General features: G+C 40.3%; 1 protein-coding gene and 1 long non-coding RNA gene across 35 annotated transcripts in view, besides 2 other annotated features; both read right to left on the bottom strand.

Moving 5' to 3' along the window:
- PCCA (propionyl-CoA carboxylase subunit alpha) overlaps positions 1–27,381 on the bottom strand; it is a 441,343-nt gene that overhangs the window by 132,120 nt on the left and 281,842 nt on the right. Inside the window, exons 20-21 of one of the 34 annotated variants that reach the window (XM_047430374.1) lie at positions 11,466–11,547; positions 11,216–11,299 (exon numbers count right to left, since the gene is read on the bottom strand). The exons of 32 other annotated variants lie outside the window; for them this stretch is intronic. In XM_047430374.1, the coding sequence (XP_047286330.1) occupies positions 11,216–11,299; positions 11,466–11,547 (166 nt within the window). Of the gene's footprint in view, positions 1–11,215; positions 11,359–11,465; positions 11,548–27,381 lie in introns of those variants that run through there. One more of the 34 variants, XM_017020615.2, reaches the window with a different exon arrangement.
- On the bottom strand, positions 1,874–7,113 carry LOC124903201 (uncharacterized). Its single transcript, XR_007063854.1, has 2 exons — positions 5,601–7,113; positions 1,874–5,463 (listed from the first exon to the last, which is right to left on the bottom strand). It is a non-coding gene; the product is annotated as an uncharacterized LOC124903201 (long non-coding RNA).
- Positions 4,810–6,009: an enhancer, noted in NCBI's record as "P300/CBP strongly-dependent group 1 enhancer chr13:101044561-101045760 (GRCh37/hg19 assembly coordinates)". NCBI's record gives its function as "activates an origin of replication core promoter dependent on BRD2, BRD4, P300/CBP, MED14 and CDK7 cofactors, with strong dependence on P300/CBP, by STARR-seq in HCT116 cells {active_cell/tissue: HCT116}" and the evidence as "EXISTENCE:reporter gene assay evidence [ECO:0000049][PMID:35650434]".
- Positions 5,247–5,541: an enhancer, noted in NCBI's record as "tiled region #12105; HepG2 Activating DNase unmatched - State 6:EnhF, and K562 Activating DNase matched - State 5:Enh". NCBI's record gives its function as "activates a minimal TATA promoter and a strong SV40 promoter by Sharpr-MPRA in HepG2 and K562 cells {active_cell/tissue: HepG2 | K562}" and the evidence as "EXISTENCE:reporter gene assay evidence [ECO:0000049][PMID:27701403]".

Raw genomic sequence — 27,381 nt, 5'->3', positions numbered from 1 at the left:
TGCATATATGATCATTTAAAACCCAGTGGAATAGGTTGAACCTAAAAGACTTGATTTAGATTAAAATTTTGGTTAAAATATCAATTAATGCACCTAAACCAGTGGTATGAAATAAAATGGCACGGAGCTTCCTTCAATCTTTGTTAAGTTACACTACTGGAAACAACATCCACTCCCAGCAAGCTCACCAATTACTACCAGCTTTCACATTTCCTTGGTGTTTTTCGTAGCTGGTTGTAAACAAAATCATAAATCCTTCTAAGCTTTGTTTCAAATCTAATCACAAAAACATTTAAAACAACTCTTCTTCTAATCACGCTGAACCTGAATGATTAAAGAGACTTATGCCAGTTCTCAAATCATCATCACTAGGTTTTCAAAGCTAAAAAGAAGCACTTTTTGTCCAACTGGGGAATTTGGTAGCTGCTCACAAGTTTGTCTATGGTTATTTACAACAGAAGATTGTGCTATGTTTAATCTCCATCTAGTTTCCTTAATCTTGTTCTGAACGACAGTCACACAGCCAAACACAGTTTTTATTTTATAAAAACCACAAGCGATAAAACAAGCATAAACCCATTACCACGCTGCCACAATAAATATGGCCAAGAGCAAATACAGCCACACACAGCCATGCTCAAAGCCATAGGTTTAACATTTCAAGAAATGTCTCTTTTTTTAAGGTTTAAACACTGAGTTAGAAAATGGCATATTTTATAATTCCCTCTCTTAAAAATAAGAATACCTTCAAAAAAAACACTGAATCAAAATAGAAATTTCAATAGTGGTAATATCCAGATTATGAACGCTCTTTGGGTTTTTTTCCCCAACTATAAACATCGTATTACTTTTTCAGAGAAATGAGTCTAAAGCAAAGAAAGGAACATGACTGAGGCCCTAATATCAATCAGGTATTTTAATATACATCACACTCACAGAATCCTAGGAACGATCCTACAATGGAGACGTTACTAACCACATTTTATAGATGACAAATCTGACACTCAGAGAAGTTACATAATTGCTCAAGGGTCTACAGCTAGCAAAACAGCACATCCAAACCTAGGCTGATTTGATGACACCTCGACCCAGCCAATGCAGATACTTGTCAGTAAGTTTATTTGGTAGGAAAACACAGTGGCAAGGGTCACTATTTTATTGCAAATAATGGCCACTCTAATAATTAGTGTGGTAAATCCATGACGTCTGGGGTTTATACCAGGGAGTTTGCAACAGACACTCAGTAGAGTGTCCATGAATAAGGAAGGGCCTCTAAATGGACAAGGATCAAACCTCCCACAGGGCAGGAGCCAGTCGGCCCCATACCCTAACAGTGTAGGTGCGCGCCCTATCGTGGAAGAAAGGGAAACTGCAGGTTTATATGGGCTTTTGAACCACAGCAGGGCCTTGGGGACAGAAATGGGGAGGCAGAAGAAGCAGCTTTCTAGGTTCACCAGCCTCACTCAACAAAATTTCCCAAAGTGAATCACCAAGACACGATGATGACCTCTATAACTACTTCCCAGGTAGTCTGCTGTAGATTCAAAAGGGGCTTCATAAAATAAATACAATTCTAACAAAGAATATTAGAATGTAAAAATATTAATCAGTACTGACAAACCTTGCTAATATATGTTGGCACATTTTATTTTTTGTCTTATTTTTATTATATAGATAAGAGGTTTCTATATTGCCCAGGCTAACCTCGAACGCCTAGCCTCGGCTGCTTATGTGCCAGGACCACAGGCCTGGGCCACTGTGGCTCCCTTTTGTCTTATTTTTAAAACTTTCCAAGAATTTTTCATACAATGGAAAAGAACTGCTTGCAAAGTAAAAGCTACTTTAGCTTCTTTTAAAAAGCAAAATATCCGTGTTTTAGAGGGAAGAGAAATCATTTCTGGGGTGCTTATTACATCAGCCACTGTACTAGAGCCTTTATATAAAATCTCATTTAATTTTTACAAAAACCCTGGAGAATACTATCCCTATTCTACAGATAAGGAAAACTAAGGCTAAGAAAAGATAACTAACTTCTGCTGGATTCCACAGCCAGCAGGTTCAGGATTGGTATTTAAACTCAAGTCCACCTGCCTCGTGACCCTTGGTTTTCCTCTATGCCAACATTCAGGTAAACACCACTGCTGCAGTGGTTCAGGGAGGCTAAGTAACTTTTCCAACTTTACACAACTGGTAAGTGACAGAGGTTTCTCTATCTTCAGAGACTATTGTTTTCAGCATAACGTTAAATTATTGTTTCTCTACCATCCCCTTAGGTAACTCCAAACTAAACCTTGTGGGTAAATGCTGATGGTAGATAGGTTGATTTTTACAAACTAAAGATAACAGAGGAAAACTATGATTGCTTGTGTCCCTATATCCAAAAAGACTGACGTTTCTTTTTTATAAGACTGCCCACTCTGCATGATAAAAAACGTGATTGCTGTGATTTGTTACTTATTAACTTCAACTACTAGAAATAGGGCTCCCTAACAAGTTGTCTTGCAAATTGATATAAAAGATAATTACCAAATGTTCTGCCTTCTGAGATTCTATATTTCTACCAAGATTTTTAGAGCTTTTTCAACAAATAAAAACATTACAAAATCATGGAACACTGTACCAAAGGCAGAACCACTAAAAGAATATTTAAATCACATCCATAATTTTAAAAAATTATTTAATTTACACAAATGTAATAAAATATTCCTGAGCCACACCCATAATTCTTTTAAAATTAGGAACTCCACAAGATAGTCACAAGACATAAAACACACAATCAAGAATACAGAGATGGAAACCTAATTGTATATTGGCCCTTTCCGTGAAAACTTTTTCTGACCTATTGCTATTATTGCTCCAAATACATTTTTTAAACTTTTTAAAGCCTTTGTTGATTATTTTTAATCTCTTCAATGGTGGTATATCCCTTGCCACTGAGTTTCAGAAATTGCCACAGTTACGCAGTGCTGAGTCTGGTGAATAAGATGGAAAAGATCAGTTATGGCTAAGAAACAAGACAGAAATATAAGCCTACAGATTCTACAGACTCTTGGATGGAATATGGAAACAAGACACCAAAATAATTTGTGGGCTATATTACTATGTGTTTTCAGTGTGATCTGTGGCTTTGGGATAATTTTAAGCTTGAACAGTCTAAATTAATTTTGTCTTTCCTTAAAGGCAAAGAATAATTAGAAGTCTGAAATTTGCTTTTAGGATTTTTATACAAATCAGGATGTTAGAGCAAAGAAAGTTTTAGATATGCAAACCTGTGCCCATGAGTGTACAGCCCCAAACCCCCTCAAGCATTTCATCCTAAACACAATGCATGAACGGGATTCTGGGAGAGATCACAACCCCCTGAAATGTAATTAGAATCACGGACACAGAAGATAAAAGCTGCCTTGATGATGGAGCACGTCAGACCCTGGACACACAAACTGGAAAGACAAGAAAGCAGTTTTTTCAGAGTAAATTGAAGTAGCTATTCTAATGAAATGTGAAGGTTTAGGGATAATTTAAAAAATATTAGTAGTAGGACATATTTTTTAAAAAACATAATTTTACTATGAAGGATATATTTCATTCTTTCAACATATTTATTGAGAAGCAGACCTGACCTGTGCACTGTAGGCAAAGTGAATCAAAATGCAATTACTATTTGGGTCATGGTAACCCTTGTTAGTTGATTCACTTTGTTTTTGTGGTTAATATAAGCTTCTGAAACAAACAACTACCCTGTTACCAGATTCAGTTACTGGTTTCTATCTTATATTTTGGGTTTAGGGAATTACTCAAGTTTACGCCTATTTTCAGTTCATGCCTCTCATAAGCAAAATCTGCAAACACACAGCTGCTGTGATAGTCTGACAGAGATCCATTCCACAGACCTCTGACTGCCACCAAGAACCAGCGCTGATGCAAAAGGAACCTCGCTGAAGAAAGCTGTGTTTTCTTAATAATAACAGTTGTATAAACATAAGGTCTTCTCAGTTAAAGGGAAACCAACATCAAAAAGCAGTACAACATAGAACCCTAAACCCCTCTTTCTTTGAAGAAACCCGTTTGAAGCGAGGTGTTTCTAGTTATGGATGAATGAAATGAGAATTCAGTTGCAACAAACGGACATCCAGTTCTACGAAGGACTAATTAAATCCATCTGAGAAGCTGCATCTCAAACCGCCTCACACATTTCAAAGGAAAGCACTCCTCTGCCTTTTGCTAAGACATCAAAACACTCAGTCACAGCTGACGCATACAGAGGCTCTACAACAATGTTATTTTTATGGACTACAAAGCTCCACAAAAGTAATGTTAAGAGTTTGCACTATTTCATGACTAAAAATTCAGAGTTAAGGCAGAACATTTCTATGTATCACTATCTGAAATTTCTTTCCAGCCTCCAACTAGTTTTGTAGATCTTCTACCTGATCTCAAAACAAAAACAAAACAGATGCATCAGTCTTTAATGTGTTTCATATACTTGCTAAGTAGAAGTGGTTAAAAAATTAATCAAAGAATTAGTCCTAGTTGCACCATTAACTTTTTTTCCTTATAAACAAAACCAGGATTTTGATGTTCAATTAAGACTCTTGAGTAGGCAGGGTCCGGTAACTCATGCCTGTAATCCCAACACTTTGGGAGCCCGAGGTGTACAGATCATGAGATCAAGAGTTCAAGACCAGCCTGACCAACATGGTGAAACCGCATCTCTTCTAAAAATACAAAAATTAGCCAGGCACGGTGGCGGGCGCCTGTAAACCCAGCTACTAGGGAGGCTGAGGCAGGAGAATCGCTTGAACCCGGGAGGCAGAGGTTGCAGTGGGCTGAGATCACGCCATTGCAATCCAGCCTGGGTGACAGAGCGTGACTCCATCTCAAAAAAAAAAAAAAAAAAAGACTCTTCAGTAGTTAATAAAAGCCAGCAGAAGCAGCTGCTGAAAACTTTAAAAACTTGGTTTGACAAAAATACTCCATTTAACAGCCATTTTTTGGCCTTTAAAGTGGTAAAAGAAAGTTATATTCAGAATTTGGGATATTATCCCAACAGGATAATGTGGTGTTAGTGTCTATCCTCCCAGGATTTTCTGCCTGTCATTGGTTATGGTGAGCTCATATAATCATATTGAGCAATCGTGTTTTTTTCTTAAAGAACGCTATTAAATGTGACACAACCCATAAGCAGGAGAAATTCAATTCTTCAACATTTTCTTTTCAACATACATAGAGAGACATACAACTAACACCATCCAGATGGTTGCTAACATTCAGAGTTTCTTCCCATGGCAGAAGACCTTAGTAAAAAGAGAAGCAGGAGCCGTCAGGAGGCCCCAGGCTTCTGGCTTCTCTCTTTACTTACCAAGTAACCTTGGGTGAGTCACTTGACCTTCCCTGGGTGAGTCACTTCCCTGGGTGAGTCACTCAACCTTCTCATCCCCTCTTGCTGTTAAGTGAGGAGTTGCCCTAGGACAGCCAAATTCCTGTAAGTTTTGAAAGTCTGTGACTTTTTTCTCCAAATGTGAATTCATTAAAACGCTACATGGATTCTGTTTGGAATCCCACTTATCAGTTATTCACACAATGGAAACATGGTAACTTACCACCTCTCTGCTACCTCCTCTGCCCCAAGGAAATTTCAGGCATTCCATGACAGTTTGGTAAATTAACTCCAATTCAAAAGTTTTCAGGTCACAGGAAATTTTATAGAAGAGATTAAATTTCTGGAAATTAACACACTGCTACATTACTGACAGAGAAAAAACTGTGAAGAATAAGGCAGATTTTGTTGACCCTTCAATTTTAAAAAGAGTAAAAAATGCCTATGCTTTGATATTTGAAATCACATTTCCTAGGTGCTAAATTTATAAATAAAATCATTGTTTTCTTTAATCACAACAAATTAAACTAGCAAACACATTGACTGAATTTTGATATCCCATTATGTAACTAGTTTGTTAAGGTGTATGAAAGGCAATTGTCAACGCATATCTGCCTGTATTTTTTGGAGACAACATTCTAATTTATTAAAGAGTTTCCATGACCACTAGGGAAGCAGTTTTTGGAACTCCTTCCTTCCCGCTTCACTGTTCTCTCTCTTCCTTCCTTCCTTCCTTCCCCAACTCCTCTACCCTGCCCCCAATGAATATTTCCTGAGAAGTACAAGAAGTGTGACAGTGAACAAGACTAGGTCCTTGCCTTTACAAAGCTCCTATTTTAGTGTGAAGAGGCTGAAATTAAACAAGTGGACAAAGAAATAAACACGAGAACTCAAGTGCATGATAAGCACAATGATGGAAATGAACACCATCTTAAGTGACTAAGGGGTCACTTAAGAGACCAAAAGCTAATTCTGCTTCCAAATATAAAAACACAGAAGACAAAACAAACAGTAACAATAACCCAAAAAACCTCTCATTCAAATTCATGACTAAAAGAATTTGATTAGATATCAAATATGAGCTTACTGAAAATATGATGTTAATGTATTTATTTATGAAAGTGATCTAAATATGTATTCTATTAATTCTCACAAGACACCAATTTGAACACAATTTAGACTTTTGAAAAACGTGTTGATCAATAGTATTCCCTAGAACATACTTTATAAACTGCTCCTATAAAAGCTGGCTAGATAATGAATAATGTCACAATAAAATCGAAACCCATAGTTTAAAGGCCCTTCAGGATCTGCCTATCTCCACCTCCCTCACTGGCACCTCTCCGCCTAGCCTCCCTGTGTCCTGGCCTCCTGGACATGCAGAGCTGCCTTGCACTATCTGACCACATGGATTGATACCCCATCAACTCCTGCTCCACGACTTCAAATGGAAGCTTGGTTAGCCTAGCCCTTCTGTTGTGTTTAAGTCAATTCTTGCTCCCAGCCTCAACAACATTCCACGTACTTCCAATTTCTAATGCCATAATCAACTCCTCCCAGTCTCACCTCACCTCTTCCCCCACAGCAGCCATCACAGGTGAATAAGTCACCAACTCTCCCTTCATCTCCACCCGCTCCTTTGTCCTTTCATATAAAAATGGAACAGAGGCTGGGTGTGGTGGTTCATAAGGTCAAGAAATCAAGACTATCCTGGCCAACATGGTGAAACTCCGTCTCTACTAAAAATACAAAAATTAGCTGGGCGTGGTGGCGTGCGCCTGTAGTCCCAGCTACTTGGGAGGCTGAGGCAGGAGATTCACTTGAACTCGGGAGGTGGAGGTTGCAGTGAGCCAAGATCGTGCCACTGCACTCCAGCCTGGGTGACAGAGCAAGACTCCATTTCAAAAAAAAAAAAGCACAGAGGCCCTTCTCCTAGTTCTTCTTTTTCTCCTTATTCTTTAATCATCAAAAATTCCCTTCTTCTGGCACCTGTTATCAGCACTTAAGAATTTATTAAACCTTTAAAAAGTCAATCCCCTCAACACCATGGCCCACTCTTAACGACCATGCCTTTAGAAGAGTCATTCACTCCACTTGTCCGCATATCTCAATGTCTGAACTCACCACAATTTCATTTCTGGCCCCATTACAACACTGAAATTGTTCTCAATTATTTTCACTAAATCCAATGGATAAATCTCAGCCTTAGTTGTTTTTTTTGTTTTAACATGACTTCTTACATTCACTGGCATCAATGACCTCATCTTCTTAAAACAGCCTCTTCCTTTAAATTCTGAAACAACACAACTTCTTGGGTTTTCTGACACAGTCTCTTTCAATGCTCCTCTTCAGTATCCTTTGCTGATTCTTCTTCCTCTGCCCATCCTTTAAATCTTTAGCATACCTCAAGGTTTCATCTTTCTTGGTCCTCTTCCCTTTTCTACTTTCTCCTCAATTCAACCCGTGTTCAACTGCCATTTATACTACTGGAGACCGAATCTCCCCCAAACTCTCTCCTGGGCCACAGAACCTCACATGCAATGACCCAGGAAACATCTCCACTTGTGTATCTCACAGATCCCTTCAAAATTATGTCTAAAATTGTCTTCCTATTTCTCTAGACGTAACCTCTCTATGCTTCAATTTCCTTATACTTAAAAATAGGACTAATAATAGTACTTATGCTTTATAGGATTGGAATAGAAATGAAAGTAGATTGTACATGTTGACTACAATTGTTGTTAAATAACATATTGCATGTGGATCACTTAGAACAGTGCTTGACACATATTAAATATGCAATATATATTAGCTAATATTATTACTGCTCAATAAATGCACGGTTAATTCTACATCTTAAATCTCTTCCATGTTGATCCATTTTTTCTCCAAAATACTTGCAGCTGAGGCTCACAGCGCCCACCTGCATGACTGCTTCTAGCAGGCCCTCTTCCTCCAGTCTTGCCTCTCCAAACCTATTCTCCATCATGAAGGCAGAGTGATCTCCCAAACAGGCAACTCTGTCCGACTCCCTGCAGGCAAGCCTTCTGTGGCTCTCCACTGCACTCCACACACATCCAGACCAGGTTCAGGGCTGGCACTTTCACATGGCCGGGTCCCAGCTGCTTCCCCTGGGGCCTGCCCCTCCCATCTCACCACTCGTTTCCCCCTCCCTGCCTGCCACCAGGTCCCACACTTCAAGCTTTCTGTGCTGCAGTCATACACAACTTCTCTCTTGCTTCAGACACAATTAACTTTCTTAGTTCTCTTTCTGCTTTTTTTTGGTGTGTGTGTGTTTTTCTTTTCTTTAACTTCTATTTTACATTCAGGGATACATGTGCAGGTTTGTTACATAGGTACACTTGTGTCATGAGGGTTTCTTGTACAGATTATTTCATCACCTAGGTATTAAGCCTAGTATCCATTATTTTTCCTGATCTTCTCCCTCCACCCTTTGGTAGGCGCCAGTGTGTTGTTCCCTTGTGTCCATGTGTTCTTGTTATTTAGCTCCCACTTATAAATGTGAACATGCGGCATTTGGTTTTCTGTTCCTGCATTAGTTTCCTAAGGATAATGACTTCCAGCTCCATCCATGTCCCTAAAAAGGACATGATCTCGTTCTTTATAGCTGTATCTACTTTTTATGTAGGCCTTCAAACTCTGACTCCTTCCCCTACCCTCCCCCAAACCTCCTGTGTAGGTCTCAGCCTGGCCAGTATTTCCTTCCTAAGCCTCCCCTAACCACCTCCGTGTTCAGTTCGGGGCCTCCGCTACATACATGCTCACCACAGCACCTGCCCTCCCTGTTACCACTCAATTTTCCTCCTTCACTGACACAGCTTTCATCCTTGTCCCCCTCAACAGATGACACTGTGAGAAGTCAGATGTATCATCTCTTTTGATTACCACTGGTTCTCCAGGACCTATGTCATAAAAGGTACTCAATAAACAGCTGTTATATTACAACTAAAATGATCAATGCATGGTGCTATAAATATGTCAAAATTCATCTACTAGCTGAGTCACTCAGCCAAGGCATTTTAACAGATGGCTCCACTGTTCATTCTATTTATAAACAACTTTGAGGGGTCAAAATATCATACCAAAGTGAATTTTAAAACTTTTTAATTATTTTTATTTTTTAAGACGGAGTTTCACTCTTGTCACCCAGGCTGGAGTCCAATGTTGCAATCTTGGCTCACTGCAACTTCTACCTCCCAGGTTCAAACGATTCTCCGCCTCAGCCTCCCAAGTAGCTGGGACTACAGGTGACCACCACCACACCTGGCTAATTTTTGCATCTTTAGTAGAGACTGGGTTTCACCATGTTGGCCAGATTGGTCTCCAACTCCTGATCTCAGGTGATCTGCCCACCTCGGCCTCCCAAAGTGCTGGGATTACAGGCGTGAGCCATTGCGCCTGGTCTTAAAACTTTTTTAAATTTGTGAGTTTTACATTTTTTGTTTGTTTGTTTTGAGATGGGGTCTCACTCTGTTGCCCAGGCTAAAGTGCAGTGGCACGATCACAGCTCACTGCAGCCTTGACCTCCCAGGCTCACTTGATCCTCCCACCTTAGCCCCCTGAGTAGCTGGGACCACAGACATGTGCCACCATGCCTGGCTAATTTTTTTTTGTAGAGACAGGGTCTCACTATGTTGCCCAGGCTGGTCTCCAACTCCCAGGCTCAAGCGATCCTCCTGCCTCAGCCTCTTAAACTGTTGGGCTTATAGGCGTGAGCCACTGTACCCAGCCAACTTTAATTTACTTTTTGTTGTTGCAGAAACCTGACTAGCACCCGTAATAGGCTCCTTGACTACTATAAATATTTTATAAAGATTTATGAAACTGAACTGAACTAAAGGTGACTATCTGGTATCAACGCTGAAAGTTTTATTCTAAATAAAATTCTTCAGAAAGTGAATCCAGGGCTAATACTAAAAATCACTTGAAGTCTTAATTACAGTATTTGCCAACTGTAATATAACAACCAATACCATTCAGTGTTTTTCATTGCCAAAGTAACTGAATTTTATATATTTTTGTTCTTCACTTAGCACCATAACAAGTTACTTGGCCCTTGAGCACACCATGACTGAGTCATTCAAGAGGGTACAGGTGCAGCTGTGCACCCAATTAGACAAGCAATTTTCCAGAGTACACGGGCAGGATCTTCACATTTTTGTGAAAATTTAGTCCTATGTTTCAAAAGTAGAGTGCGATACCCACTGAACAAACCTGCATTTAAAAAGTAAACAGATCAAGCTGTGCAAGGTTACTCTTCAGACTTGATTTCTCTACAACCTTGTTTATCCAACCCCCTCCCATCAGATGTCAAGCTGATTTGGATGAATTTGCCTTGAAAGGATATTCTTTAGCTTGGGATAAGGAGTCACATTGGTACATCAGGTTACTTTTGGATGTTCTTGCTTGAACCAAGAGTAAGGAAAAACATACTGTTCTCTAAAATAGCCTTGTGATGTCTTAGGACGAGTGAAATTACTATGAGCTCTGGAACCCTAAGCAAAACTTTTGGAGTGAACTACCTTTACACTGCCTTTTGCTATTGGGAAACACATCTCTCCAACTATTCTACATTCACAGTAATCTCTCTGGGTAGTTCATACACCTACAGAAGGGGAAACAGGAGGCTGTGGAGGAACTGTTCGGACTCAGCTTCCTTACTCTGACCTATGTTACTGCTCTTTCTTTGCTTTTTCCAATTTCTTAATTCAGATTAGATCAACCTGTAACCAGAGCCTATTAAGTGATCTCCAGCAACTGTCTCCGAGTTGGAAGTGCTAGCCAAAGAATTTCAGTGATTGCGTTTTGTGTACTTACACCTGTGGGACCAGCACTCTCCATTTAATGAGCCAGCTGCTTTTCTGATTGCTTCCCCGGATGGCCAAGTCACTGCAGAAGTTTCTTGAAAGGTAATTAAGGCTCCATTATTTCAACACTGCTCCATCTTACAGACCCTTCCACTGCACAATTTTGAAATGTTTTTTAAAAAAAATAGGTAATACACATGTAGGGTTCAAAATTCAAAAAATACTAAAAAGATATGATCTAAGAGATGTATCCTTCTCACTTGTTATGGAGTCAGCCCTCCAGCTCCCCAACTCACAGGCAACCATGGGTCCCAGTTTCTTGTGGCTCCTTCCAAAGATATTCTGTGGATATCACAAGCACAAACACACACATTCTTTTTTATGCCAATGAATGTCGTTTGCCTCTGTCACTTGATAAAGCAGCACACAGGGCTGGGCGCGGTGGCTCACGCCTGTAATCCCAGCACCTTGGGAAGCCGAGGCGGGTGGATCACGACGTCAGGAGATGGAGACCATCCTGGCTAACACAGTGAAACCACGTCTGTACTAAAAATACAAAAAATTAGCCAGGCATGGTGGCAGGCATCTGTAGTCCCAGCTACTCAGGAGGCTGAGGCAGGAGAATGGTGTGAACCTGGGAGGCAGAGCTTGCAGTGAGCTGAGATCGCGCCACTGCACCCCAGCACCCCAACCTGGGCTACAGAGCGAGATTCCGTCTTAAAAAAAAAGAAAGCAGCACATAGAAGACACTCTCAACTTTTTAAAGGCTGCACAGTATTTCAATGTTATGAATGTATCATATTTATTTAACTATTCCAGTCTGACAGGCAGTTTGATACCATGTTACACTGGTACAGTAAGTTACTTTTAGACATTCTTCCTTAAACCAATAGCAGGGAGAAACATAGTATTCTTTAAAATAGTCCTGTGATGTTTTAGGACAAATGAAATTACTATGAACTCTGGAACCCTAAGCAAAACTTTTGGAGTGAGCTACCTTTTCACTACCTTTTGCTAGTTCTTTCCAGTCTTCTGCTCTAAGAAATAATACTAACATGACTATTCTTGCACATCTCCTACAGGTGGACATAACACACAGTATAAATTCATTTTGTCAAATTGCTCTCCATGGAGGTTGTTATATCCATTTATACTCCCACCAGCGTTTGAGAGCTTACGTTTCTACAATCTTAGGAAGAGGCCAGGTGCAGTGGCTCATGCCTATAATTGCAGCACTTTGGAAGGCCAAGGCAGGTGGATTGTTTCAGCCCAGGAGTTCGAGACCAGCCTGGGCAACATGGTGAAACCCTGTCTCTATAAAAAATACAAAAAGGAGCTGGGCATGCTGACTATTCAGCTATTCAGGAGCCTGAGGTGGGAGGATCACTGGAGCCTAGGAGGCCGACGTTGCAGTCAGCCGTGATCATGCCACTGCACTCCGGCCTGGGCAACAGAGCAAGACCTGGTCTCAAAAAAAATAAATAAATAAAATCAAAACAAAACGGAATTAACACATTTTTCATTTTTGCCAAAATGTGCATGGAAAATCGTATCTCATCATGATTTTCACTTGAATGTGTGTGTGGCTTTTAGCACTTTTTATCATATGTGCAGGAGCCACATGTCCTTTGCTGTAAACTGTCTCTGAATATTTTTTTACCAGGGCTTTTGTTCATTTTCATATTGATTTGTAAGAGTTCTGCATATATGAAGGGCATCCCTTATTTTGTGACTAAAATGAACTGCAAATTTTCTCTCTGGTTTTTTGGCTTACCTGTTGGCTTCACTTACGACAGTTTTACATTCTTTGCAGAAAATTTTTACATTTTTAAGCATTATCTTGACTTATTATCCTAATAATTTTTCAAATGGAAAAATAATTTTATCAAGGAAAAAGTTCTTGCCAATGTAAAAGAATTTCTATGTTTATGCATTATGTTTTAATTTTAAAAAACTATTCACAGAAAATAAGGTATTTTCCTCAAAGAGAATATCTTTTGCTGCTTTGTTCAGTATACTTTTTAAAGGTAGAGGGGTAGAAAGACTAAGTGAAAAAATTACCTAAGAAGAGAAGTAGTTTAATGATCATAACATTTAATTCTGGCAAAAGACAAATTAATGAAAAATAAAAAATAAATATAAAATATGACTTCAAAAAACTTACCTCAATTTTCTATCATTTGTCATGTACTGTAAGTCAGTTTTCTAAATAGAATTATAGTCCTTTATTATAAACCCCTAATGGTACTGTAGTATTCTCTTTAAAATGCTCAGGGAAAAAAAGGTTCTTTTTCTGTCTGCCTTCTCTGTATTTAAGCCATAGGTAATTTTTAAACTAAAAGCCTATAATAGGCATAAATGTAATAGTTAACTCACCTTGTTTACTGATGTCCTTTTCATGTTCAAGATTAAAAGCCTATCCTAAAAACTGACAATAGAGGCAAAAGAATACATATAATAATGTTCTATTTTTTGAACAAAAGATGTTCCAAAATTAACTCTTTAAAAGAACCACATGATTCTTATCATGTTCCTATAAAAATTCCAGTAACTTCATAATTTAGTATTATGCTCTATTCATAGAATAAAAGAGATTATGATGTAAAATGCATGTATAAATTCTTAATGAAGATACATTACAGATTCTTTATATTACTATTTGAGAACACAAAGTTATTATTTTGTGCAGAAGATTCTTGGCATATTCTAAGTTCATCGAATTTTTCATTTTTATGAAAACGTTACACAAAAACATTTAAACAGATTTACTTAAAATTGAATTTTTGGCCAGGCACAGTGGTTCACGCCTGTAATCCCAAAACTTTGGGAGGCTGAAGCGGGCAGATCACCTGAGGTGAGGAGTTCGAGATCAGCCTGGCCAACAGGGTGAAACCCCGTCTCTACTTAAACTACAAAAATTAACCAGGCGTGGTGGCACGTGCCTGTAATCCCAGCTACTCGGGAAGCTGAGCCATGAGAATAACTTGAACTTGGGAGGTGGAAGTTGCAGTGAGCCAAGATTGTGCCTCTGCACTCCTGCCTGGGCAACAGAGTGAGCTCTGTCTCAAAAAAAAAAAAAAAAATCAAACTTTCAAAGTGCTCTTTAAATATTAAAATAAACTATGGTGGAATGTTTTCTTAGTCAAGAAATCCAGAACAAAACATATGGTGGTAGAACAAAGGAAAAAGGGTGAGTTATAGCAGAGAAGGAAAACGTCAAACAATGCGTATATAATTATTTCTTATTATGCATCCATATGTAGTTATTATTTTCTATTCTTAGTTCATCACCATATTCTTTCTTTGAGGAGAAAAATATAGGGTGGTAATTTCAATTATATGAATACTACAAAACAATTCCCTCCTTCCACCTCAAGCATCTAAGATGAAACAATTTTGCATCAACCAAAACAAACATTATAAAGAAAACAAAATGTAGCACAAACTCTCTTGTACACAAAAGCTTACCTATCTCAAATCTTTATTTTTTTTTTTCGACACGGGGTCCAGGATTTCACTCTCACCCAGGCTAGAGTGCAGTGGTGCAATCATGGCTCACTGCAGCCTCAATCTCCCAGGCTCAAAGCATCTTCCCCCTTGGGCCTCCTGAGTAGCTGAGGCTACAGGCGTGTATCACCATGACCGGCTAATCATATAAAATTTTTTTTGTTGCCAGGGCTGGTCTAGACCTCCTGGGCTCAAGTGATCCTCCCGCCTTAGCCTCTCAATGTGCTGGGATTACAGGCGTGAGCCACGCACCCAGTCTCAAATCTTATATTGCTCTCAAAAAATATTGCTTGGATAAAACTTGAAATCACAGGCTGGGCACGGTGGCTCATGCCTGTAATCCCAGCACTTTGAGAGGCCAAGGTGGGCAGATGGCTTGAACCCAGGAGTTCAAGACCAGCCTAGGCAACATGGCGAAAACCCTGTCACTACAAAAAATATAAAAATTAGCCAGACATGGTAGCATGCCCCTGTAGTCTCAGCTACTTGGGGGACTGAGGTGCTCTCCCCCATGCTACCACATTCTAATGTTTTTCCTCATTTATTTATACAATAATTTTGAGGCAAGTTCTGGCTTATATATACTAAAAAATATGTTCTAAGCTGTGACTCATCAGTCATCTCCCCCAAGAGGAACTTCTTTCATCTTCCCCCAGATCCTTCCCTTCCCCCAAGCAGTTGAGTGCCTTTCTTTCTTTCTCATAGATTTAACTGGTTGATGACACCTCTATTAATGCATTTATTACATTATTTTAATTACTTCCAACTCTGCCTTCCCTTATAAGTACAGATTGTTTACATGGATATCTCCAAGCCCAACTGCCTTTAATTTATTTTTTCCCTGACAAAATATTATATGTTGAATTAGCGATTTTTCATTGCTTGCTTGGAATATGTTCTAGAAGTAAAAATAGTAGACCAAAGAATATGAATGTTTCTAAAGGTCTCTGATAAATGTTATCATATATAACCATTTAATTCATCTTTAAATTACTGACATGTAGGCCAACAACTATTGTTTGATATTGATACAATGATAGAGACAGGAGGCAGAGAAATTCTAGGCAGACAGGTGTGGGTCCCTGGTGAAGTTCCACCCTCAAGCTGAAAAGCCTGAGACCGTGGCCCAAAGTGAGAACTTCTCTCCCTGTTTTCCAGCTCAAATGTTGCCTTTTCCTAAACTACCCATGGCCCCACCCCACCTCATCCTGTGCCTATAAAGACCCCAGACTCAATCAGCAGAGAGGAGAAGCAGCTGAATGTTGGAGAGAAGGGACTTGACTTCAGAGGGACAGCTTGATGGAGTAACCGGAGAAAATCCAGCCGGACTTCAGGGGAAGATCACCTACCCCTCCTCTGTCCCCTTTTCAGCTCCCCTCTCTTCCCACTGAGAGCCACTTTCATCGGCAATAAAATCATTCCTGCATTTACCATCCTTCAATTAGTTCGTGTGACCTCATTTTTCCTGGACACCAGACAAGAGTTCAGGAGCCATGTGTGTGGATACAAAAGGTTGTTACGCTGGCCCTTTGCCCTCGCTGGTGGAGGGCAGCAGCAGGCCAACTGAGCTGTTAACACTTAAGCCGCCTGTGGAGAGCAGAGCTAAAAGAGCACTGTAACATGCCCTCTGGGGCTTTGGGAGTCACAGGCACCCCTCCTGGATGCTGCCATGGGGCCTGCACAGAGTTCGCTCCTGCTGGCGCCCAAAAGCACTTGCTCTGGTTCCTGCACCCACTCACCTGTGCACTCCCTCCTACGAGGTGTGGAAGGCAACAGGTGCAAATGAGTGGAGTTTGATCCCACTGGCGCCAAAACGGCTGGTCAGTTCCAGTGCTCCTGCACTACAGTTCCCGCCTCCTTCGCTCGTGTGCTCCCTCCCACAAGGAGTTGAGAGCTATAGGCTGATTAAAGGAGGCACCCCGTGGCAAAGCGGTCCCGCAAAGGGGTCAGGGAAATAACTTGCTTCAATATTATTTGAAAGGTAAGATATATTCACCATAGTAATAAAGAAATACATAAATACTTATATAAATATTCAAGATTAAATACTCCTGATACAACAGAGCCAAGGTTCTGAATAACCCAGATATTTAACCATTTGAGGAAATGCCATCCTGTTTTCCAAAGCAGCTGCACCCTTTTACGTTCCCACCAATAGCATTTGAAGGTTTCAATTTCTCCACCTCTTTGCCAACACTTTTTTTTTTTTTTTTTTGAGACGGAGTCTCGCTCTATCGCCCAGGCTGGAGTGCAGTGTGGCGATCTCGGCTCACTGCAAGCTCCACCTCCCGGGTTCATGCCATTCTCCTGCCTCAGCCTCCCAAGGAGCTGGGACTACAGGCGCCCATCACCATGCCCCAGCTAATTTTGTTTTTGTATTTTTAGTAGAGACGGGGTTTCACTGTGTTAGCCAAGACAGTCTCCATCTCCTGACCTCGTGATCCACCTGCCTCAGCCTCCCAAAGTGCTGGGATTACAGGCGTGAGCCACCGCACCTGGCCTACCAACACTTGTTATTACCTGACTTTTTAAAGTAGAGCTATGTAGTGGGTACAAAGGACAATCTCACTGTGGTTTTGATTTGCATCTGGATCCCTCCATGCCTTATGATGCAGAACATCTCTATATGTGCTTACCGGCAATTGCATATATTCTTTGGAGAAACGTCTATTCAGATCTTTTGCCTATTTTTAGAGTGGGCTGTTTTTTATTGTTAAGTTGTAAGTGTTCTTTATGTATTTTAAACACAAGTGCTTTACTGAAAATTTCATTTGCAAATATTTTTTCCCATTCTCTGGTTTGTCTTCAATTTCCTGTTAGTGTCCTTTGAAGCAAACATTTTAATCTTGATGTTGAACAATTCATCTATTTTTAAAGATGTTTTGCCTCTTATATTTAGGTCTTCAATCCATTTTGGATTAATTTTTGTATACTAATCAATATGAGGTAGGGTTTCTACTTCATTCCTTTACATGTGAACCCAGGTGTTTCGACACCATTTGTTGAAGAGATTATTCTTTTTACCATTGAATTATTTTGGCACCTTTGTCAAAGATCAATTGACCATATATTTTTGGGCTTATTTCTGGATTCTCAATTCTATTCTGTTGATTTATATGACAATCATTTTGCAAGTACTACACTGTATTTGATTACAAGGCTGTTTGTAGTAACTTCTGAAAGATGGAAATATGATTTATCCAATTCTGGATTTTTGTGGGTTTGTTTGTTTGGTTGGTTTTGAGACAGAGTTTTGCTCTGTATCCCAGGCTGGAGTGCAGTGGTGTGATCAGAGCTCACTGCAACCTCCACCTCCTGGGCTTAAGCTATCCTCCAACCCCAGCCTTCTAGGTAGCTGGGACTAGAGGCACATGCTACCACCATCAGCTAAAAAAAACTTTTTTGTAGAGATGGGGGCCTCACTATATTTCTCAGGCTGGTCTCGAACTCTTGGGCTCAAGTCATCCTCCTGCCTTGGCCTCCCAAAGTGCTGGGATTACAGGTCTGAGCCAATGTGACTGGCGTGTTTTTTTGTTTTTTCGTGTGTGTCTGTGTGTGTGTGTGTGTGTGTTTAGATTACTTTGGCTATTCTGGGTCCCTTAAGTTTCCATATTTTCCAAATTTTAGGATCAGCTTGTCAATTTCTGATAAAAATACAGCTTGGACTTCGGCAGGAATTGTGTTGCATCTTTAGACTAATTTGGGAATTACATGATTTGGGTGTGTCCCCACCCAAATTGCATCTTGAATTGTAGCTCCCATAATTCCCACATGTGTGGGAAGGACCCAGTGGGAGGAAATTGAATCACGGGGGTGGGTCTTCCCCGTGTGGTTCCTGTGATAGTGAATAAGTCTCAGGAGGTCTGATGGTTTTATAAAGGGGAGTTCCCCTGCAAGAGCGCTCTCCTGCCTGCTGCATGTAAGATGTCCCTCTGCTCTTCCTTCATCTTCTGCCATGATTATGAGGCCTCCCCAGCCATATGGAACTGTGAGTTCATTAAAGCTGTTTCATTTATAAACTACCCAGTCTTGGATATGTCTTCATTAGCAGCGTGAGAACAGACTAATACAGGCAAGCAGTGCCATCTTAAGTTTTTCAATTCACAAATATTAGAAACTTTCCATTTATTTGGATTTTCCTTAATTTCTTTTTTCAATGGTTTGTTTCACAATACAAGTTTTATACTTCTTTTGTTAAATTTACTCACCTGGACCCACTAACATCAGTGTCAGCACATGCAACCCCGGGGCCCAAGGACAGACATACTCAGCCCACCACTACCACCATTAGGCCCAAAGAGTGGCCCATGTGGCATCCTTGTCCCCAGAAAACCTCATTACAGCCTCTACTAATAACAGTACCCTAAGCCACTAAAGAAATCACAGATACCACCGATACTGTTTACAGCCAAAGAAATCATACAGTGACTACACTATACAGTGACTACCACATGCACCCAGAATCAAAGCCAAAGGGTCCTACCCAACCAACAGCATGGATACATCTTCAGGAAAAAGTCTTCCCCTATGAAAACAAATTCTAAAATTGGAAGAAGCGAATATTACCCTACATGTTCAAATATCAACGTAAGGACACAGGAAACATGAAAAAGCAAGGGAATATGATACCTCCAAAGGAATACAATAAGTCTGCAGCAACAGATCCCATCCAAAAGAAATTCACATTCCAGAAAAATAACTAAAAATTTTGATACTAATAATAGTGAGACACAAGAGTGATCTGAAAAACAACACAAAAAAATCAGAAAGACAATTAAGGATATAAATGAGAAATTTACCAAAAAGATGGGTATCATAAAAAAGAATCAGACACATTCTGGAATGAAGAATTCACTGAATGAAATGCAAAATGCATTCAAAAGCTTCAACAGACTAGATCAAGCAGAAGAAAGAATCTCAAAGCATGAAGAGAAGTCTTTTGAAATAATGCAGTCACACAAAAAAATTTTTCAGTAATTTTAAAACATAAAGAAAGCTTTCATGATATATGGGACACAATAAAGTAACCAAAAATCAAGATTATCAGTATCCCAAAAGGCAAAGAAATAATGAAAGGATTTGAAACTCTATTTAAGGACATAATAACTGAAAACTCCCCAAGTCTAGTGAGAGATACAGACATCCAGATACAGAAGGTCCAGAAATCCTCAACCAGATTCAATGCAAAACAGTATCTCTTCCATGATACATTATAGTCAAACTATCTAAAGCCAAATACAGAGTTTTAAAAACTGTAAGAGAAAAGTATCTAGTCATCTATAAAGGAAGTCCCATCAGACTAACAGTCGACATCTTAGCAGAAACCACACATACCAGGAGAGAATGGAATCGTATTTTCAAAGGGCTGAAAGAAAAACACTGCCACTCAGTGGTACTATACCCAGTAATAATATCCTTCATTAATGAAGGAGAAATAAAGTCTTTCCCAGACAAGCAAACGCCGAATTTGACCAGTGGAATGCATTACCACCATATCCGCCCTATAAGAAATGTTCAAGGGAGTCCTAAACCTGGAAGCAAAAGGACAATATACACCATCATGAAAACACGTGCAAGTATAAAACCTACTGGTAAGGCAAACACACAAATGAGGAACAGAAAAGACTCTAATGTTGCCACTGAAGGAAAACACCAACCACAAAGATAAACAATATAAAATAGGAAGGAACAAGGAACATATAAAACAAACAGAAAGCAATTAATGATATGACAGGAACAAAACCTCATATATCAATAATAACCCTGAATGTAAATGGATTAAATGCTCCACTTAAAAGATGGAAGCTGGTGGCCAGGTGCAGTGGCTCACCCCTGTAATCCCAACACTTTGGGAGGCTGAGGCGGGTGGATCACAAGGTCAGGAGATCGAGACCATCCTGGCTAACACGGTGAAACCCTGTCTCTACTAAAAATATAAAAAATTAGCCGGGCGTGGTGGCAGGCGCCTGTAGTCCCAGCTACTCGAGAGGCTGAGGCAGGAGAATGGCGTGAACCTGGGAGGTAGAGCTTGCAGTGAGCTTAGATCACGCCACTGCACTCCAGCCTGGGTGACAGAGCGAGACTCTGTCTCAAAAAAATAAAATAAAATAAAATAAAAAGATGGAGGCTGGCTGACTGAATAAACATATGACCCAAATATATGCTGCCTGCAAGAAACACACTTCACCCTTAAAGACACAAATAGTCTGAAAGTAAAGGGATGGAAAAAATTGTTCCATCCAAATGGAAACCAAAAATAAGCAGGAGTAGCTATACTGTTATCACATAAAACAGCTTTAAGTCAAAAACAGTAAAAAGACATTTTTCTCAAGTGGCTGGCAAGATGGCCAAACAGGAACAGCTCCGGTCTGTAGCTCCCCGCGAGATCAGCACAGAAGGTGGGTGATTTCTGCATTTCCAACTGAGGTACCCGGCTCATCTCACTGGGACTGGTTAGACAGTGGGTGCAGCCCACAAAGGGCAAGCTAAAGCATGGTGGGGCATTGCCTCACCCGGGCAGCACAAGGGGTCAGGGAACTCCCTCCCCTAGCCAAGGGAAGCCGTGAAGGACTGTGCCATGAGGGAGGGGCAGTGCTATTCAGCCCAGATACTAAGCGTTTCCCACGGTCTTCACAACCCCGCAGACCAGAAGATTCCCTTGGAAGCCTACACCACCAGGGCCCTGGGTTTCAAGCACAAAACTGGGCGGCTGTTTGGGCAGACACCAAGCTAGCTGCAGGAGTTTTTTTTCATACCCCAGTGGTGCCTGGAACACCAGCGAAACAGAACCATTCACTCCCCTGGAAACGGGGCTGAAGCCAAGGAGCCAAGTGGTCTTGCTCAGCGGATCCCAGCCCCACGGAGCCCAGCAAGCTAAGATCCACTGGCTTGAAATTCTCACTGCCAGCACAGCAGTCTGAAGTCAACCTGGCAGGGAGGGTCATCCACCATTATTGAGGCTTGAGTAGGTGGTTTTCCCCTCAGAGAATAAACAAAGCCATGGCAGCTTGGTAAAGCCGCTGTCGCCAGACTGTCTCTCTAGATTCCTCCTCTCTAGGCAAGGCATCTCTGAAAGAAAGGCAGCAGCCCCACTCAGGGGCTTCTAGATAAAACTCCTATCTCCCTGGGACAGAGTACCTGGGGGAAGGGGCAGCTGTGGGCGCAGCTTCAGCAGACTTAAGCGTTCCTGCCTGCTGGCTCTGAAGAGAGCAGCAGATCTCCTAGCACAGCACTCCAGCTCTGTTAACGGACAGACTGCCTCCTCAAGTGGGTCCCTTACCCCAATGCCTCCTGACTGGGAGACACCCCCCCGCAGGGATTGACAGACACATCACACAGGAGAGCTCCAGCTGGCATCTGGCAGGTGCCCCTCTGGGACGAAGCTTTCAGAGGAAGGAACAGGCAGCAATCTTTGCTGTTCTGCAGCCTCTGCTAGTGATACCCAGTCAAACAGGATCTGGAGTGGACCTCCAGCAAACTCCAGCAGACCTACAGCAGAGGGGCCTGACTGTTAGAAGGAAAACTAACAAACAGAAAGGAACAGCATCAGCATCAACATCAATAAAAAGGAGGTCCACACAAAAACCCCATCCGAAGGTCACCAACATCAAAGACAAAAGGTAGATAAATCCATAAAGATGAGGAAAAACCAGTGCATCTTCCTCCATCCCTTTATTTTTAGCCTATGTGTGTCTTTGCATGTGAGATGGGTCTCCTGAATACAGCACACTGTTGGCTCTTCACTCTATCCAATTTGCCAGTCTGTGTCTTTTAATTGGGGCATTTAGCCCGTTTACATTTAAGGTTAATATTGTTATGTGTGAATTTGATCCTGTCATTATAATGCTAGCTGGTTATTTTGCCCATTAGTTGATGCAGTTTCTTCATAGTGTTGATGGACTTTACAATTTGGTATGTTTTTGCAGTGGCTGGTACTGGTTTTTCCTTTCCATATTTAGTGCTTCCTTCAGGAGCTCTTGTAAGGCAGGCCTGGTAGTAAAGGGATCAATGCAACAAGAAGGGCTAACTATCCTAAATATATATGAACCCAATACAGGAGCACACAGATTCATAAAGCAAGTTCTTAGAGACCTAAAAAGAGACTTAGACTCCCATACAATAATAGTGGGAGATTTTAACAACCCCACTGTCAATATTAGATCAATGAGACAGAAAATTAACAAGGATATTCAGGACTTGAACTCAACTCTGGACCAAGCAGACCTAACAGACATCTACAGAACTCTACACCCCAAATCAACAGAATATACATTCTTCTCAGCACCACATGGAACTTATTCAAAAATTGACCACCTAATTGGAAGTAAAACACTCCTCAGCAAATGCAAAAGAATGGAAATCGTAACAAACAGTCTCTCAGACCACAATGCAATCAAATTAGAACTCAGGATTAAGAAACTCATTCGAAACCGCACAACTACATGGAAACTGAACAACCTGCTCCTGAATGACTACTGGGTAAATAACAAAATTAAGGCACAAATAAATAAGTTCTTTGAAACCAATGAGAACAAAGACACAATGTACCAGAATCTCTGGGATACAGCTAAAGTAGTGTTTAAAGGGAAATTTATAGCACTAAATGCCCACAGGAGAAAGGAGGAAAGATCTAAAATCGACACCCTAACATCACAATTAAAAGAACTAGAGAAGCAAGAGCAAACAAATTCAAAACCTAGCAGAAGACAAGAAATAACTAAGATCAGAGCCGAACTGAAGGAGACAGAGACACGAAAAACCCTTAGGTCCTTACAAAATTTTCTATCATTGGCCCACTGTAACAATTCAATATACAGGATCATATACAATTGCTTTCTAGTTTATTAGTAGTAAACATGAAACATCAGGCAAAATTTTTCAAAAAGTGCATGTATAGTGCTCCTTTTTCCATCGCTAGGAAGGCCAAATTTCTAACTAATTTTCTTATACATTAGGACTACTCTGACACTCTTCTTTCAACTCTTTCTTTCAAGTGAATCACATTCAATATGAATTTAGTTTTTCACCATCTTTAAGATATTAACTGTGTTAATATTTTAATTCATCATAAACTTATTTTCTCCTGAGTGGATGGACTATAGGTGCGCACCACTGTACCTGGCCAAAAACTATTTTGACCAGTTTTGTGTTATATTGAGCAAGACAGAAATGGAAAACATCCTGGGAATCCAGAAGGGAATCATGAAAATAATTATAATAAAAATCAGTTTGTTATTGGGTACTTTTCGGCTTATCACCATGACAAGCTGAATAATATTTCTACTTTGTGTCTAGCAGGTTTTATACTATTAATTAATTCTGTCATTCATTCAGACAGCTGTATTCAGAAATCAGAATAAAGACCTAAAATACATAAAATACTTCACTTCTCCTACGATTAACACTTCACTTAACTTTCATTTTTACCATGCATTCATTTCCCAGAATTTTCATACCTCCTTTTTTATTTTATTTATTTATTTATTTATTTTTGAGAGAGAGTCTCACTCTGTCACCCAGGCTAGAGTGCAGTGGCGTGATCTCAGCTCACTGCAACCTCCATCTCCTGTGTTCAAGTGATTCTCCTGCCTCAGCCTCTCAAGTAGCTGGGATTACAGGCGCGTGCTACCACACTTGGCTAATTTTTGTATTTTTAGTAGAGACGGGGTTTCACTATGTTGGCCAGGCTGGTCTCGAACTCCTGACCTCAGGTGATCCACCCACCTCAGCATCCCAAAGTGCTGGGATTACAGGTGTGAGCCACTGCACCTGGCCACAACCCTCCTTTTAAGTTTTTCATTATAAATACTGATTTGTTTTGTGTATGTTTTACTTGTGGTAAAACGCGTATAAAATTTACCATCTTAACCATTTTTAAATGTACAGTTCAGTGGTATTAAATACATTTGCATTTTCCTGCTACCATCACCACCATCTACCTCCAGAAAACCTTTCATCTTAAAAAGTGAAACTTTGTATTCTTGAAGCAATAACTCCTCATTCCCCTTCCTCTCTGCCCCTGGCAACCACCAATCTAGTTTCTGTCTCTATCAGTCTGACTACTCCAGGTACCTCATATAAGTGGAATCGTACAGTATTTGTCCTTTTGCGCCTGGCTTATAACCTAGCATAATGTCCTCAAGATTCATCTGTGTTATATAGCACATATCAGAATTACCAACTTTCTAAGGTTACTATGTAATTCTACTTTTAAGTTTTTGAGGGACCATCATACTGTTTTTTCCAAAGTAACCACATCATTTTATATTCCTACCAACTGTGCACAAGGGTTCCAGCTTCTCCACACCCTCACCGGTACTTATTTTCTGTTTATTTGATACTAGCCATTCTAACGGGTGGGAGGTAGTATCTCACTGCAGGTTTGATTTGGATTTCTCTAATGATTAGTGATATTGAGCATCTTGTCATGTGCTTATTGGCCATGCGTATATCTTCTTTGGAGAGGTGTCTATGAAAGTCCTTTGCCCATTTTTAATTGTTTTTTGTTATTGAGTTGAAAAATTTCTTTATATATTCCAGATATTAAACTCTTATCGGGAGGGCTGGGCGTGGTGACTCACACCCGTAATCCCAGCACTTTGGGAGGCCGAAGTGGGTGGATCACCTGAAGTCAGGAGTTCGAGACCAGCCTGGCCAACATGGTGAAACACCATCTCTACTAAAAATACAAAAAAAAATTAGCCAAGTGTGGTGGCATGCACCTGTAATCCCAGCTACTTGGGAGGCTGAGGCAGAAGAATCACTTGAACCTGGGAGGCAGAGGCTACAGTGAGCCAAGATTGTGCCACTGCACTTTAGCCTGGGTGACAGAGCGAGACTGTCTCAAAAAACAAACAAACAAACAAACTCTTATCATCTATGTGATTTGTAAATATTTTCTCCCGTTCTGTGGGTTGCCTTCTCACTCTGTTGATTGTACTCTGACAGAGTGGTTACTTTGGGAAAAAAACAGAGTAAGAAGGCAACCCACAGAATGGGAGAAAATATTTGCATGAAACATTTATATATTTATAGTGTTTAGAATGGAAAATTTTAAAGGAGGGATGAAAATTCTGGGAAAATATTCTCCTTTCATATATAGAAGTGTTTAACTCTCACATAGTCCAATTTATCTTTTGTGCCTGTGCTTTTGGTGTCATGTCTAAGAAACCATTGCCAAATCCAATACCTTGAAGCTTTTCCCCTATGTTATCTACTGGTTTTTTTGTTTTGTTTTGTTTTGTTTTGTTTTTGAGACAGGGTCTCACTCTGTCACCTAGAATGGAGTGCAGTGGCACGATCTCAGCTTACTGCAACCTTTGCCCACTGAGTTGAAGAGCTTCTCCTGCCTCAGCATCCTGAGTAGCTGGGATTACAGGTGTGTGCCATGCACCACCAAGCCCAGCTAATGTTTGTATTTTTAGTAGAGATGGGGTTTCACCATGTTGCCCAGGCTGCTCTTGAACTCCTGAGCTCAAGTGATCCACCTGCCTTGGCCTCCCAAAGTGCTGAGATTACAGGCATGAGCCACTGTGCGCAGCCTTCCCCTGTGTTTTCTTCTAAGAATTTTATAGCATTAGCTCTTACATTTAGGTCTTTGATCCATTTTGGTTAGTTTTGTATACAGAGTAAGAAAAGGACCCAAATTTATTCATGTTGAAAAGGCTGTCTTTTCTCCACTGAATATTTTAGAAACTCTTGTCAAAAGCCATTTGACCATACATACAAGGGTTTACTTATGGGCTCTCTATCCTAGTCCATTGGTCTATATATGTGCAGTACCACACTGTTTTGAAAACTGTGGTTTTGTAATAAGTTTTGAGATGAGGAGGTATAAGGCTTTCAACTTTCTTCTTCTATTTCAGGATTGTTTTGACTATTTGGGACCCCCTTGAAATTGCATGAATTTCAGAATAAATTTGTCTATATCTGCAACAAAATGTATTTGGGGGTTCTGATAGGGATGGCGTTGTATCTGTAGATCACTTCAGGTAGTACTGACATTTCCTTCTTTCATTTTTCTTTTGTTCACCAGAGATGGAGTCTTGCTGTGTTGCCCAGGCTGGGCACAAACTCCTGGGCTCAAGTGAACCTACTGTCTCAGCCTTCCAAGTAGCTGAGAGGTACTGATATTTTAACCATATTAAGTCTTCTAGTCCCTGACACAAGATACCCTTCCATATATTTGTGTCTTTTTTAAGCTCTTTCAGCAACATTTTATAGTTTTCAGTGTGTAAGCCTTTCGCCTCCTTGGTCAAATATATTCCTAAGTATTTTAGTCCTTTTCATTCTATTGTAAATGAAATTGCTTTGCCTAAAATTTACATAAATGGTGCCATTAAGTATGTATATTGTTGCAACTTTCCTTTTTACCATTATTGTGGTGTATACATCTGTACCAAAAGTCTTAACAACACATACAGAAAGGACACACAGCATCATCAGGTTAGCTGCCACCACTTGGGAGAAAGTGGAACAGGATGATGTAAAGAAAGGACTTAGTTTAATCTATATATTTTTCTTTTTAAATAGGAGACCTGTATGGAAAATCTGCAACATCTGCTGTACTTTCCTTATTAGAAATATCTTATAATTTAAACTCCTAAAAATTAAACAGAAGAACTCTGGAAATGTAGGGCACCTAAAGCTTTACTGTGTGCTCAGTAAAGC

Source organism: Homo sapiens, chromosome 13 (genome assembly GCF_000001405.40).
Source record: "Homo sapiens chromosome 13, GRCh38.p14 Primary Assembly".
Classification (NCBI taxonomy): Eukaryota; Metazoa; Chordata; class Mammalia; order Primates; family Hominidae; genus Homo; species Homo sapiens.
The sequence above is the reverse complement of the archived record's forward strand: the minus strand, read 5'-3'. Positions and strand labels throughout refer to the sequence as shown.